The sequence below is a fragment of the Homo sapiens genome, chromosome 12 (genome assembly GCF_000001405.40).
Source record: "Homo sapiens chromosome 12, GRCh38.p14 Primary Assembly".
NCBI classification, from domain to species: Eukaryota; Metazoa; Chordata; class Mammalia; order Primates; family Hominidae; genus Homo; species Homo sapiens.
Window position 1 is genome coordinate 7,967,735 of NC_000012.12, and position 15,685 is coordinate 7,983,419.

Consider the following 15,685-nt stretch of genomic DNA (forward strand, 5'->3'; position numbering starts at 1 on the left):
GCTCACAGCAACTTCCACCTCCTGGATTCCAGTGATTCTCCTGCCTCAGCCTCCCGAGTAGCTGGGATTACAGATGCCCACCACCACGCCTGGCTAATTTTTGTATTTTTAGTAGAGACGGGGTTTCATCTTGTTGGCCAGGCTGGTCTCAAACTCCTGACCTCACAGGTGATCCACCCGCCTCGGCCTCCAAAGTACTGAAATTATAGGCGTGAGCCACTGCGCCCGGACTAATGTTTTAGTTTTTTAAAGATAGAGATTGGCGTCTCACTATATTGCCCAAGCTAGTCTCAAACTTGTAGGCTCAAGCAATCCTCCCACCTGGGCAAAGATTACAGGTGGGAACCACTGTTCCTGGCTGAAAGTTTATGTTAAGTGTCATGAAGGGGCACTACCAAGTGCATAAAAAATAAAATACAGGCTGGGAGCGGTGGTCCACACCTGTAATCCTACCGCTTTGGAAGGCTGAGGCAGGAGGATAGCTTGAGTCCATGAGTTCAAAACCAGCCAATCCTATCTCAAAACAAGCAAACAAAGCTGGGCATGGTGATGTGTGTCTGTAATTCTAGCTACTCTGAAGGCAGAGGCAGGAAGGATCCCTTGAGCCTAGATGTTAGAGGCCAGCCTGAGCAACCTAGCGCAACACTGATTCTACAAAAAATAAAATACAGGCTGGCCGCGGTGGCTCACGCCTGTAATCTCAGCACTTTCGGAGGCCAAGGCGGGCCGATCACCTGAGGTCGGGAATTCCAAAACAGCCTGACCAACATGGAGAAACCCCATCTCTACTAAAAACACAAAATTAGCCGCCAGGCACCGTGGCTCACGCTTGTAATCCCAGCACTTTGGGAGGCTGAGGCGGGTGGATTACGAGGTCAGAAGTTTGAGACCAGCCTGGCCAATATGGTGAAACCCCGTCTCCACTAAAAATACAAAAAAAAATTATCTGGGCGTGCTGGCACGCGCCTGTAGTCCCAGCTGCTTGGGAGGGTGAGGCAGGAGAATCGGTTGAACCCGGGAGGCGGAGGCTGCAGTGAGCCGAGATGGTGCCACTGCACTCCAGCCTGGGCAACAGAGCAAGATTCCGTCTCAAAAAAAAAAAAAAAAAAAAAAAAAATTAGCCAGGAGTGGTTGTGCATGCCTGCAATCCCAGCGACTCCGGAGTCTGAGGCAGGATAATCGATTGAACCCGGGAGGCGTAGGTTGCAGTAAACCTAGATCGCGCCACTGCACTCCAGCCTGGGCAATAAGAGCGAAACTCCGTCTCTAAAAAATAAAAATAAAATAAAATAAAATACAAATTTAGTCCCAAGACAGTTGTGCCCATAGTCCCAACTATTGTCCCAGGTATTCAGGAAGCTGGGACAATAGCTGGTATTCAGGAAGGTGGGAGGGTTGTTTCAACCCAGGAGTCTGAGGCTGCAGTGAAGCCGTGATCGCTCTGCTACACTCCAGTCTGGGCAACAGGGTGAGACCCTGTGTCAAAAGAAAAAAAACTACATAATACATAAATACAACGCCATGATATATAAATCACGTTGTTTTTTGTTTGTTTTGTTTTGCTTTTGAGACGGAGTCTCACTCTGTCTCCCAGGCTGGAGTGCAATGGTGCGATCTCGGCTCACTGCAACCTCCACCTCCTGGGTTTAAGCGATTCTCCTGCCTTAGACTCCCGAGTAGCTGGGACTACAGGTGCCTGCCACCACACCCAGCTAATTTTTGTATTTTTAGTAGAGACAGGGTTTCACCATGTTGACCAAGCTGGTCTTTGAACTCGTAATCTCAAGTGATCCGCCTGCCTTGGCCTCCCAAACTGCTGGGATTACAGGTGTGAGCCACCATGCCCAGCCAAATCACCTGTTTTTAAACCATAGAAAAAGGGGAAGATAAATGTCAAAGGAGGACTGTATTTACAACTCAACAGTAAGGAAAATAAAGTCCTTGATTTAGATTCCCCCCCTTTCCAGTTTTCCACTTCTTTCTCCTCTCAAGCACCTTTTCTGCCTGGCAAGAAGCATGCAAAACAAACTACCCATTTGCTTTTCTTCTTCTTCTTTTTTTTTTTTTTTTTTTTTTTTTTGGAGACATAGCCTCACTCTGTCACCTAACCTGAAATGCAGTGGCTCGGTTAACTGCAACCTCCACCTCCCACCTCCCAGGTTCAAGCTATTCTCCTGACTCAGCTTCCCCAGTAGCTGGGATTACAGGCGTGCGCCACCATGCTCGGCTAATTTTTGTATTTTTTAGTAGAGATGGGGTTTCGCCATTTGGACAGGCTGGTCTCGAACTCCTGACCTCAGGTGATCCACTAACCTCAGCCTCCCAAAGTGCTGGGATTACAGGCATGAGCCACCGCGCCCGAACTACAATTCTTGGACGTCTCCATTAATTCTTACTGCTCTTCCATCCCCAATCTTGTCTTTCTCGGTGTCTTGATTACTTGAAAATCATCCCTTCGTCTCTGTTTCTCGAGCAGTGCCCCTTCCGCAACAGTACGCGCTCTCCTTTTTTTTTTTTCTTTTTTTCTTTTGAGGCAGGGTCTCAGTCTGTTGCCCAGGCTGGAATGCAGTGGCGCGATCTCGGCTCACTGCAACCTCCGCCTCCCGGGTTCAAGCGATTCTCCCGCCTCAGCCTCCCGAGTAGCTGGCATTACAGACGCCCGCCACCAGGTCCGGCTAATTTTTTTGTATTTTTAGTAGAGACGGGGTTTCACCATGTTGGCCAGGCTGGATTTGAACTCCGGACCTCAAGTGATCCGATCTCTTCGGCCTCCCAAAGTGCTAGGATGACAGGCGTGAGACACCGCGGCCGGCCGCGCTCTCCCTTTCTTGCACTCGTCTTTATCTTCTAAGCCCTCCACATGCTTTTAAACTGTCAGTCTTTTCATTTTTATTTCTTCCTCTTGGACGCATTTACCCAAATTGGCCCGAGGGAGGCTGAGACAGCAGATACGAAAGAAAAATGTGTGTATGCGTGAGTCTTTGGGTGGCGAAGAAGGAGGAGGAGGAATGTAGCTCGGGGCTCGGCCCCCGTGCTGGGATTCCGAGGGCGGGGGACAGGATGCGCGCGCGGCGGGTAGCGTGCCACACGGCACGTCCCGGCCGCTGCAGGAAGGCGGGGCTCAGGTCCCGCCGACTCCCACATGCTGGGGGACACCGGGAGCGCCTCCCACTCCCAGCCCGCCGGAGAGCCTTGCAATTTTCAGGAATCGGCGTCTTCTCTGGAAAGCCGCCAAAGGTTTTAAGAGGGTTTCGCCTTAAGGGCAGATGTTTTGTGCTAGGCCAGTAATCCTCAAACGTCCCTTTTAGCCCCACTCAGCTGTGTGAGTTTCCATCCCCATCCCCTCCTCTCACCCGACCACGTTGCCTCTTTAGCTGCAGGTCCTTTTATTGCTCTTCTTTCCCACGTACACTCCACGTTTCACATTTCACGCTTCCACACAGCCTCCTATGTTTACAAACTCTCTCCCTTCATTATGCCCGAGCAGCACGCTGAGTCTTTTTTAAAGTCAATTTTATGTATAAAATGTACACAATACAATTCAAACCTTTTAGGTGTGCAGGTGGACGACTTTTCTCTCTCTCTCTCTCTCTCACACACACACACACACACCAGTGTTGCCACTACCCCAATCCGCACAGAAATTTTCATCATCTTAGAAAGCTCAGCATCCTGAATCTTGGGCAGTTAGCCTGTCATTTTTCAATCACGACTTACAGGTTTTCTCCCTCACGCATTCACTTTTTCATATGTTGGTGAAATATTTACGTAAGTACCACGTATGAACCAAACACTACGGAAACAGAAACAACCGGGAAACTAGAGCAACTCAATGTAAAAGGGAAGGCGCATACAATAAGACACATACTTTTGTTTCCCCTTCACCTATAGTATTTCTGCTAATCCTTCCCCTTCCCCTTTAAAAACAATTAAAAAAATTTTTTTGTGAGTATGTAGTAGGTGTATATATTTATGGGGTCCATGATGTTTTAATGCAAGCATGCAATGTAAAATAATCACCTCATGGAGAATGGGGTATCCATCTCCTCAAGCATTTATGCTTTGAGTTACCCCCTCATCTTTTTAGACCCTCAGACAACTTAGTCAGCTGACCAATCCTTCCTGAGAAATAAATGTTCTTTTTCACCCTTTTTTTATGTCTTCCTGAGGAAGGCTGACGGTGAATGAAGCGCATTAGACTGAGAATAGCTGCTGAGTAGAAAACCGGTGGGAAAACAGAGAATTTCCTGGAGGCATGGGAGGGGCACGCTGTAATGAGTGGGAATGTCACAGGCGCTGTTTCAAAAAGAGTGGATGAAAGCCTGAGAATGCGGCTGTAAAGGCTACTGGAAGGCTCCTCGGGCAGGGGACAGGATGTGAGCCCCTGGAATAGACTCATAAAAGAAAATGTTAGCACATACCATTGAATTCACTGAGACACATGAGAAAATATGGGAAAGTCGGAGAGTGGAAGAAAATGTAAAGACCCCCCTCCTCCCCAAAGAGTACGTTGTGTAGTGGGGTAGAGTGGAAAATCAATCCAAGAAAAGTAGCAAACGGACCCAAAGATGAAGAGGAAGAAAAGAAACAGCAACACGAAACGAAAAAAAAAGCCACCAGATTTGTTGCAACGTTGATGTAAACCTGGCCGTCTTCCTGAACCAGTGACCCAGGGTTTCCGCTTCCCTTTGCTGTCATCTTGCTCAAGTCTAGAAGCTGAAATATCATCATCAACTCGACATGAGGGGATAACCTCTAGATCCACTCATCAGATGCTCATCAGACGTTCCAATTACAAAACTGAACCTCTTCTTAGTGCTGGGGCGGTTAGAATGCAAACATTTCAAGAAAAAAAAAACATTGTTTTCTAGTGGTGATAGAATTGAGGGTGAGTTCTTCCTTCCTTTATTTTTGTCTTTTATTTTTTTCTACTTTACTGAAGGGCACATGCAATAAAGCAGATAAAAATGCACTAATCTGGAGTTTACAGTTGGGTGAATATTTATATCTGTATTCACAGGCATAAACATTAACCGGATCAAGATCTAGATTTTTTTTTTGCACCACCATGCCCAGCTAATTTTTTTTTTTTTTTTTGAGATGGGAGTCTTGCACTGTCGCCCAGGCTGGAGTGCATGGCGCCATTGGCTCACCATAACCTCCAACTCCCGAGTTAAAGTGATTGTCCTGCCTCAGCCTCCTGCGTAGCTGGGATTACAGGCACGCGCCACCATGCCCGGCTAATTTTGTATTTTTTAGCAGAGATGGGGTTTCTCCATGTTAGTCAGGCTGGTCTGGAACTCCTAACCTCAGGTGATCCACCCCCCCGCCCCCCGCTCCTTGGCCTCCAAAGTGCTGGGATTACAGACATGAGCCACCGAGCCTGGCAAAATCTAGATTCTTTAACATTTCTTGCTCCTCAAAAAGGCTCCTTGTGCCGGTTCAAGTCTACAGCCGCCCTTGCCAGAAGAAACCAAGATTTTTTTTTTTTATTTTTCGAGATGGAGTCTTGCTCTGTCCACCCAGGCCGGAGTGCACTGGTGTGATCTCAGCTCACTGCAACCTCCGCCTCCCGGGTTGAAGCCATTCTCCTGCCTCAGCCTCCCGAGCAGCTGGGATTACAGGTATAAGCCACCACTCCCAGCTAGAAATCACAATTTTCACTTCTGTCATCATCAATGAATTTTGTTGTTCGTGACCTTTAAATGGAACCATACAGTATGTACTCTTTTGTGCTCAGATGTTTTTTTCACTGAGCATAGTGTCTATGAGTACTATGTGGTGGTGTTGGTAGTTCATTCCTTCTTACTGCTGAGTAGTATTCCACCTTTGGCTATGCCAACATTTATTTATCTATTCTCCCACTGATGTACGCGTTATTGTTTCCAGTTTTGAGCTATTATAAACATTCCTGTCATTTGCTCAATGTATGAATTCTTTTCTCTTGGGTGTATAATTAGGAATGAGATTGCTGGGTTGCTTTTTTTTTTTTTTTGAGACGGAGTCCTGCTCTGTCACCCAGGCTGGAGTGCAGTGGTGGCCATCTCGGCTCACTGCAACCTTCACCTCCTGGGATCAAGCGATTCTCGTGCCTCAGCCTCCTAAGTAGCTGGGATTACAGGCATCTACCACCATGCCCGGCTAATGTTTTTGAATTTTTAGTAGAGACAGGGTTTCATGATGTTGGCCAGGCTGGTGCTGAACTCCCGACCTCAGATGATCCACACACCTTGGCCTCCCAAAGCGCTGGGATTACAGGCGTGAGCCACCGCACCCGGCCTGGGTTGTTATTTTTTGGCAGTAAATAGTAAATTCTAAACAGAAACAAGTGGGCTACATCTTTGTCTTAATATGCGTATGGTATTTTAATAAAAATCTTTTAAATACATTATTTAAGTTGATCTTCAAACTTTAGTGTGAAGTAAAGTAGATAATGTTATCGCCATTTTACAGGTATAAAAGCTGAAAGATAATTTAAATGGCCAATTTAAGGTCATAATATCTCGTTTTTTTTTTTTTGAGACGGAGTCTCGCTCTGTCATCCAGGCTGGAGTGCAGTGACACGATCTTGGCTCGCTGCAAGCTCCGCCTCCTGGGTTCATGCCATTCTCCTGCCTCAGCCTCCTGAGTAGCTGGGACTATAGGTGCCCGCCACCACGCCCGGCTAATTTTTTGTATTTTTAGTAGAGACGGGGTTTTAATGTATTAGTCAGTATGGTCTCGATCTCCTGACCTCGTGATCCGCCTGCGTCAGCCTCCCAAAGTGCTGGGATTACAGGCGTGAGCCACCGTGCCCGGCCAAGGTCATAATATTAATAAGTTGTGAATTAGGATTAGAAACTGCATTTCCTAATTCCTAGCCAAGTTCATTTATGCTTACATATTCCTTTGATTTCACTGGCCTCGTGAGTGAAGAGGTCACCCAGTCATCCCCTTTGCCCAGGACTATCTCAGTTTTAGCACTGAAAGGCTCTGGGCAAACCTGGAAGGTTGGTCATTTTACAAAACAAAGAAAGGGGTCAGATAGATATCACAACTTGCAAATGGCAGAGAAAAACAAAACCAACTTGATTTAGCTCATTCATGCTCCTCCATTCCCAAAGGAAACTTTTTTTTTTTTTTTTCAGACAGAGTCTTGCTCTGTCACCCAGGCTGGAGTGCTACAATGTGATCTCCGCTCATCGCAACCTCTGCCTCCTGGGTTCAAGCGATTCTCCTGCCTCAGCCTCCCGAGTAGCTGGGATTGCAGGCGCACGCCAACACTCCCAGCTAATTTTTTGTATTTTTAGTAGAGACGGGGTTTCACCATGTTGGCCAGGCAGGTCTCGAACTCCTGACCTCATGATCCGCCCGCCGTGGCCTCTCAAAGTGGGTGGGATTACAGGCATGAGCCACCATGCCCAGCAGGAAAGTTATTTTTAATCAATGAACAATAAAATATCCACACATTTATGCACTATGTTTATCAACTGTATTGCTTGACTTGGAGATCATCTAGACTAGTGCTACTGAAATTGTGGTCCATGGACCAGCAGCATCAGCATCTCCTAGGATCCTGTTAGAAATGCAAACTCACCAGGCGCGGTGGCTCATGCCTGTAATCCCAGCACTTTGGGAAGCCGAGGCGGGCGGATCAGGAGGTCAGAAGTTCAAGACCAGCTTGGCCAACATGGTGAAACCCTATCTCTACTAAAAATACAAAAATTAGCTGGGCGTGGTAGCGCGCACCTGTGATCCCAGCTACTCAGGAGGCTGAGGCAGGAGAATCGCTTGAACCCGGGATGTGGAGGTTGCAGTGAACCAAAATTGCCCCATTGCGCTCCAGCCTAAGTGACGGAGCAAGACTCTGTCTCAAAAAAAAAAAAAAAAACAGATTTCTGAGCAGAATTTTTCCATTGCTGGCTGGGCACAGTGGCTCGCGCCTGTAATCCCAGCACTTTGGGAGGCCAAGGTGGGTGGATCACCTGAGGTCAGCAGTTCCAGACCAGCCTGGCCAATATGGTGAAATCTCATCTCTACAAAAGAAATACAAAAATTAGCCAAGCGTGGTGGTGTGTGCCTGTAATTCCAGGTACTCGGGGGGGTAGGCAGGACAACTGCATGAACCCAGGGGGCAGAGGTTGCAGTAACCAAGATCTAGCCACTGCACTCCAGCCTGGGTGACAGCGCAAGATTCCGTCTCAAAAAAAAATTTTTTTTCCATTGCTTCAACTCACTCAGTAACCTTTCCCTACATGGAACAAATCCCATTGTTGGTAAAAAAAAAAAAAAAAAAGGAAAAAAGAAAAGAATCATCCTTATGAAATCGCTTATCTAACATTGTGATCCTTAATGAGAGTGCATAATATCATTTCAAGTTGGTTTTTTTCTTTATTGTCTTTTCCTAAGGCCATTCCAAGTGTATTTCATGTACCACTCGAAGTATGGTGTCCAGAACTAATCTTAGTGAAAAAACTATAGTACATCAAAAGACCTTGTGGTTACAATGTGAATATTCATAAGTTTTAAAAGAAAATATACGTGTGGCTGGTCTGAGTACAGTGGCATTTACAACTAACTGATCACAACCAGTTATGAATTTCTTCATTACTTTTCCACTCACACTGCTTCACTTGACCAGCTTTAAAAAGAAAAAAAGAACTATACATGTTTAAGAATCATGAGATCTGGCTGGGCGCAGTGGCTCACGCCTGTAATCCCAGCACTTTGGGAGGCCGAGGCAGGTGGATGACCTGAGGTGAGGAGTTCGAGACCAGCCTGACCCACATGGAGAAACCCTGTCTCTACTAAAAATACAAAATAAGCCAGGCAAGGTGGTGCATGCTTGTAATCCCAGCTACTTGGGAGGCTGAGGCAGGAGAATTGCTTGAACCTGGGAGGCGGAGGTTGCGGTGAGCCGAGATCACACCATTGCACTCCAGCCTGGGCAACAAGAGCAAAACTCTGTCTCAAAAAAAAAAAAAAAAAAAAAAAGAATCATGAGATCTAAAAACAGAAAGAAAGAATAATCTGAATCACAGAGAAGGGGAAAATAGATGACAGGTTAATTTACAACAGAAAGGATTTGCTGAATGAGTTTTGCCAGCAGGGACTGGATTTGGGCTCCCAATTTGTGTTTTCTTAGGGTTTAGTGTAACTTGGCTGGTATCAGTCTTCATAGTTTCTCTGTACTCTGTTCTAGGACTCAATCCAAAAGGTCACCTTCCAACTCCAATCTGGCTTCTCTTAGCCCATCTATTCTAGCTCTCTCTTTTCCTTCCCCTCATTCTTCCCCAGAGAGAGGTTGCTATGGGAATGGCATCGTCATAGAAAGCCAGCTGGTAGAGAGAAGCAGTGACAGAAGCAGAAACAAAAGGGTGCAGAAAGAAAAATAAAAGACGAAGGTAAAAACAATAGGCACAGACATAGGTGAGAATTGAGACGGTCAAGGCCAGGCGCGGTGGCTCATGCCTGTAATCCCAGCACTTTGGGAGGCCAAGGCGGGTGGATCACGAGGTCAGGAGATCAAGACCATCCTGGCTAACACAGTGAAACCCCGTCTCTACTAAAAAAAAAAAATACAAAACATTAGCCAGGCGTGGTGGTGGGCACCTGTAGTCCCAGCTACTTGGGAGGCTGAGGCAGGAGAATGGCATGAACCCAGGAGGCAGAGCTTGCCACCATGCACAGCCGAGATCGTGCCACTGCACTCCAGCCTGGGCGTTAGAGCGAGACTCCGTCTCAAAAAAAAAAAAAAGAGAATTGAGACAGTCAAAAGAGGAACTACACAGGTGATAAAATGCCATCAACACATTTACTTCTAGAAATGGATGGAGGCATTGCCCACAGTTAGAGGAACACAGCAGAGGAACCAAGGCAACAGACACGAGCAAACCCAGGGACCTGAAATAGATGTAGAGACACAGGAGGAGAGAGACACGGTCAGATGACAAACCCAATTTGCAGGATTCTGCAGAAAGCAGCTGCAGACAGAATCTAGCTAAGCATAGAGACTGTTTCAAGGCAGCGTTTATTTATCCTCATCTGCCTCCCTGAGTCATTTCTATTTCCAAGGAATGAAGCAGTGGGAGGTTATAAAGGGGTTACCTTCACTTCCTTATTGTTTTCCACTTTGTTTTCTTGCCTGTCATCTTCTGACGTGCACAGAAAGGAACCTCCCTAGGACAACCAAAAGCCAAGAATATGTCCCTTAGACACAACTCTTTTTTTTTTTTTTAAGACAGTGTCTCGCTCTGTCACCCAGGTTGGAGTGCAGTGGCCCGATCTCGGCTCACTGCAAGCTCTGCCTCCCAGGTTCATGCCATTCTCCTTAATCAGCCTCCCAAGCAGCTGGGACCACAGGTGCCCACCACCACGCCCAGCTAATTTTTTGTATTTTTAATAGAGACAAGGCTTCATCGTGTTAGCCAGGATGGTCTCGATCTCCTGACCTCGTGATCCTCCTGCCTCGGCCTCCCAAAGTGCTGGGATTACAGGCGTGAGCCACCGTGCCTGGCCTAGACACAACTCTTATATCTTGACTGTTCTTCAATATTTGTATTTTTGTCTTTTTTTTTTTTACAACTCCCTTTCTTGTTCTTTTTCTTTTTCCATTTGCCCCAGGTAGCTACCAACTTAATGCTCCTTATGTCTATCCCGTTCCTTTTTCCAGTCTCTATTACCTAGTCGTCCTTGTCCCCACCCCTCCTAGCCAAAATTTTTGCTTCTTCCAATTCCATTCTTTAACCGAGTTCTTACCTGGGCCTCTCAATCTTTGGACAAGACAACATCTTGATAAAAACATCCAGAGCCCAGGCGTGGTGGCTCATGTCTGTAATCGCAGCACTTTGGGAAACCAAGGTGGGAGGATTGCTTGAGTCCAGAAGTTCAAGACCAGCCTGGGCAACATGGCAAAACTTCATCTCTACAAGTAATACAAATAATTAACCAGGCATGGGGCCACTTGGAAGGCTGACATGGGAGGATCAGTCAAGCCCTGGAGGTCGAGGTTGCAGTGAGCCGTGATCATGCCACTACACTCCAGCCTGGGCAAGAGAGCAAGACTGTTACATACATACACATAAATCAATCAAGAAATAAGAGCTTTCTTTTTCCTTCTTTTTATTTTTTTGAGATGGAGTTTTTGCTGTTCTCACCCAGGCTGGAGTGCAGTGATGCAATCTCGGCTCACTGCAACCTCCACCTCCCGGGTTCAAGTGATTCTCCTGCCTCAGCCTCCCGAGTAGCTGGGACTACAGGTGCCCGCCACCATGCCTGACTAGTTTTTGTATTTTTAGTAGAGATGGGGTTTCACTGTGTTAGCCAGGATGCTCTGGATCTCCTGATCTCGTGATCCACCCGCCTCAGCCTCCCAAAGTGCTGGGATCACAGGGGTGAGCCACTATGCCCGGCTGAAATAACAGCTTTCTAAATCCAGAAAGATTTGAATGAGATTTTTTTTAAAGGTGATGTTGAAAAAAATTAAAATGTATATGCATCTATATTGAGAAAGCCTTCAAAATGCACAACGCTGTGCTGTACTAGGCAGGAAACTCAAAGTCCCTACCCTCAAGTTATAATCTGGTGCTGGAAGGGACAAGATAAGAAAATGCTAAAAAAAAAAAAAAAAAAAAAGCCAAGAATCATGAGATTTTATTCATGTGGAAACACCCAGAAAGGCTTCTTGAAGCGGGTATTTGGAATAGATCTTGAAACATGGGTAGACTCAGAGATAAGAGATGAAGATTAGAGGGTTGGGCACAGTGGCTCACGCCTGTAATCCCAGCACTTTGGGAGGCTGAAGTGGGTGGATCATGAGGTCAGGAGATCGAGACCATGCTGGCTAACAGGGTGAAACCCCATCTCTACTAAAAATACAAAATAAATTAGCGGGGCGTTGTGGTGGGCGCCTGTAGTCCCAGCTACTCGGGAGACTGAGGCAGGAGAATGGGGTGAACACGGGAGGTGGAGCTTGCAGTGAGCCGAGATGGCGCCAGTGCATTCCAGCCGGGGCGACAGAGTGAGACTCTGTCTCAAAAAAAAAAAAAAAAAAAATCAGAAAAGAGCATTTCGGGTGGGCGTGGTGGCTCACGCCTTTAATCCCAGCACTTTGGGATGCCAAGGCAGGCAGATGACCTGAGGTCAGGGGTTCGAGACCAGCATGGCCAACATGGGGAAACATGTCTCTACTAAAAATACAAAAATTAGCCGGACGTGGAGGCACACACCTGTAATCCCAGCAACTGGGGAGGCTGAGGCAGGAGAATTGCTTGAACCCGGGAGGCGGAGGTTGCAGTGAGCTGAGATCACGCCATTGCACTCCAGCCTGGACAACAAGAGCTGAAACTCCATCTCAGGGGAAAAAAAAAAAAAAAAGAGCATTTCAGTAAAGTGGAATGGCCTGGTAGCGGGGCGTTGTGGTGGGCGCCTGTAGTCCCAGCTACTCGGGAGACTGAGGCAGGAGAATGGGGTGAACACGGGAGGTGGAGCTTGCAGTGAGCTTAGATGGCGCCAGTGCATTCCAGCCGGGGCGACAGAGTGAGACTCTGTCTCAAAAAAAAAAAAAAAAAAAATCAGAAAAGAGCATTTCGGGTGGGCGTGGTGGCTCACGCCTTTAATCCCAGCACTTTGGGATGCCAAGGCAGGCAGATGACCTGAGGTCAGGGGTTCGAGACCAGCATGGCCAACATGGGGAAACATGTCTCTACTAAAAATACAAAAATTAGCCGGACGTGGAGGCACACACCTGTAATCCCAGCAACTGGGGAGGCTGAGGCAGGAGAATTGCTTGAACCCGGGAGGCGGAGGTTGCAGTGAGCTGAGATCACGCCATTGCACTCCAGCCTGGACAACAAGAGCTGAAACTCCATCTCAGGGGAAAAAAAAAAAAAAAAAGAGCATTTCAGTAAAGTGGAATGGCCTGGGCACATGTCTGGTGGTGGGCAGTTTGTGGGAAGGCTGGGGAATGGTGCTTAGTCCAGTTTAGCTGAGGAGTAAGGCACTTACAGAAGTCTAGTAAAAGATAACGCTGGAAAAGCAAGTTCGGGGATGCTGCAGCAGTCTTCGAATACCACTGGTGCTAGCTCAAGTGTAAGCCCTCAGGTGAGGGATGAACTAAATTATTTATTATTTATTTTGTATTATTATTTTATTTATTTATTTATTTTGAGACAGAGTCTCACTCTGTCGCCCAGGCTGGAGTGCAGTGATGCGATCTCAGTTCACTGCAACTTCCGCCTCCTGGGTTCAAGTGATTCTCCTGCCTCAGTCTCCTGAGTAGCTGGGATTACAGGCACCCGCCACCATGCACAGCTAATTTTTGTATTATTAGTAGAGATGGGGTTTCACCATGTTGGCCATGGCTGATCTCGAACTCCTGACCTCGTTATCAGCCTGCCTTGGCCTCCCAAAGTGCTGGGATTACAGGCGTGATCCACCACTCCCGGCCTTAGTTTTTGTATTTTTGGTAGAAACGGGGTTTCACCATGTTGGTCAGGCTGATCTCGAACTCCTGACATCAGGTGATCATCCACCTCAGCCTCCCAAGTGCTGGGATACAGGTATGAGCCACCGCACCAAGCATTCTGTGCTTTTTTAAATCTCGTCTTTCTATTGCTTTCCTCGACCCCAACCCTGAATCCCAACTTGATTGCTTCAGAGGCTTTCTTGATAGAAATGCATTTGGTACAACGGCGGAAAGCGTTTTCTGCAAGCAGTCTTCTCTCACCTCTGTTTTTAGAACAAAGACAAGGTTGGAAGTTAGAAAACCTGGGTATCAGCAAAGACTATGGTACAGACTGTGCTACAGACTTCGCAAAAACTTAAGTCATTAAACCTGTGTCTCAGTTCTCTAATTCCAGAAGGTGGACTTATGGCTGAAGAAGAAGAATGCTAGCTATTTTATTCTGTGCAATCTCAAGAGTTCTACAAAGGTACTGCCCAAACAAATACTTCCTGATCCATGCATGTGAAGTAGTCATTACCCGAGAAGAAAGGTGAAAAATTATGTAACTGTTCTTTTTTTTTTTTGAGATGGAGTTATGTTCCTGTTGCCCAGGTTAGAGTGCAATGGCACAATATTGGCTCACTGCAACCTCCGTCTCCCGGATTCAAGGGATTCTCCTGCTTCAGCCTCTGGAGTAGCTGGGATTACAGGCACCCACCACCAGGCCCAGCTACCTTTTTGTATTTTTAGTAGAGATGGGGTTTCACCATGTTGGCCATGCTGGTCTTGAACTCCTGACCTCAGGTGATCCACCCACCTCGGCTTCCCAAAGTGCTGGGATTACAGGCATGAGCCACCATGTCTGGCCAAATTATATAACATTTTAACTACTAATCAGATATTCACTTATCAGTCCTCTTTCAAATATATACTTAAAACTTCCAAGTTTTTGGAGCCTTTCCTTGGTTCATGTTTGGGTCTGGAACATATAGACATAGTCAATATATAATTGAATAAATGACTGGCTGACTGAATAAACCTCTAGCTCTAAATATAAAAGCATTGAGATCAGGAAACATCACTGTTCTCTATCTTAAAAATAATAAAAACGTAATAAGGAAAAAAGCATTAGGAAAAGGTTTTTTTTTGCCACTAGATTCTAAGTGGTAACATAGAATTTGAAGAATCAGAAGCATGTGAAAAGAGTGACTTAGTTGTATCTGGGTGTGGCTGAGAAAGAATTTTTCTCCCCTTTCATCTTTTAATCTCCATCAGACATTGCTCCTCTCAGGTAGCCTGAGAATGAAGCTATTTACTTCTGTCTCATTAGTTCTTCTTTGATCCTGACAGCTGCAGTCAATACAAAAGAAATGCCACAGCCCCAGGAAAAGATTCCAATGTCCCCACGTGGAGGACGTGCAGAGACAGCATCATTCTTTGTCTCCCACATTCTTATCTACCTGGTGACAGGACAGTGACTTCTGCCCCCTTCTCTCTCACTAATAAGTAGCTAGTCAACATGATTAGTATAGCCTCATTCCAAAATAGCTACATGTCTCACTAGGGGTCCTAAAAGATAAGAACAGAGCTTCTAGTTTAAATTGTATTGTATTTACTTAGTTTTTAGAGATGACAGAAGAAAAGTGGGATTACTTACCTCCTCAAGAAAAACCTTACAACTGTAACAAATGAATAAACATGGGGAAGAGAAACAAAAGGCCAAAAAGGCAATGGGATATGGTAAGAATATAATTTTTCTTTAAATAACAGTATATGAACATTGTGTCCAAATTTAATCATCGGGCACTGTTAATATTGAAAAAATTATGGAGATTGAGAATGATGACAGAAAAATGTAAACTTTTCCATTTTAAAAAAGTGGAAAAGAAACAGTGCTTCATTATTTTCCTACTAAAGTCTAGAAAGATTATTAACAGATGATTTGTATGCAAGAAGAGAGCAGTGATAGGCCGGGCACGGTGGCTCACACCTCTAATCCCAGCAATTTGGGAGGCCGAGGCGGGCGGATCACCTGAGGAACGGAGTTCAAGACCAGCCTGACCAATATGGAGAAACCCCATCTCTACTAAAAATACGAAATTACCTGGGCGTGGTGGCACATGCCTGTAATCCCAGCTATTTGGGAGGCTTGCTTGAACCTGGGAGGCAGAGGTTGCGGTGAGCCGAGATGGTGCCATTGCACTCCGGCCTGGGTAACAAGAGCAAAACTCTGTCTCAAAAAAAAAAAAAAAAAAAGAGAGA

At 46.1% G+C, this 15,685-nt stretch overlaps 4 annotated features.

The window, feature by feature from the left end:
• Nucleotides 192-904: an enhancer, noted in NCBI's record as "H3K27ac-H3K4me1 hESC enhancer chr12:8120522-8121234 (GRCh37/hg19 assembly coordinates)". NCBI's record gives its function as "activates a minimal SCP1, AML or CMV promoter by ChIP-STARR-seq in primed H9 embryonic stem cells {active_cell/tissue: H9 hESC(primed)}" and the evidence as "EXISTENCE:reporter gene assay evidence [ECO:0000049][PMID:30033119]".
• Nucleotides 905-1,617: an enhancer, noted in NCBI's record as "H3K27ac-H3K4me1 hESC enhancer chr12:8121235-8121947 (GRCh37/hg19 assembly coordinates)". NCBI's record gives its function as "activates a minimal SCP1, AML or CMV promoter by ChIP-STARR-seq in primed H9 embryonic stem cells {active_cell/tissue: H9 hESC(primed)}" and the evidence as "EXISTENCE:reporter gene assay evidence [ECO:0000049][PMID:30033119]".
• Nucleotides 3,043-3,756: an enhancer, noted in NCBI's record as "NANOG-H3K27ac-H3K4me1 hESC enhancer chr12:8123373-8124086 (GRCh37/hg19 assembly coordinates)". NCBI's record gives its function as "activates a minimal SCP1, AML or CMV promoter by ChIP-STARR-seq in naive H9 embryonic stem cells {active_cell/tissue: H9 hESC(naive)}" and the evidence as "EXISTENCE:reporter gene assay evidence [ECO:0000049][PMID:30033119]".
• Nucleotides 14,122-15,321: an enhancer, noted in NCBI's record as "BRD4-independent group 4 enhancer chr12:8134452-8135651 (GRCh37/hg19 assembly coordinates)". NCBI's record gives its function as "activates an origin of replication core promoter dependent on BRD2, P300/CBP, MED14 and CDK7 cofactors, and independent of BRD4, by STARR-seq in HCT116 cells {active_cell/tissue: HCT116}" and the evidence as "EXISTENCE:reporter gene assay evidence [ECO:0000049][PMID:35650434]".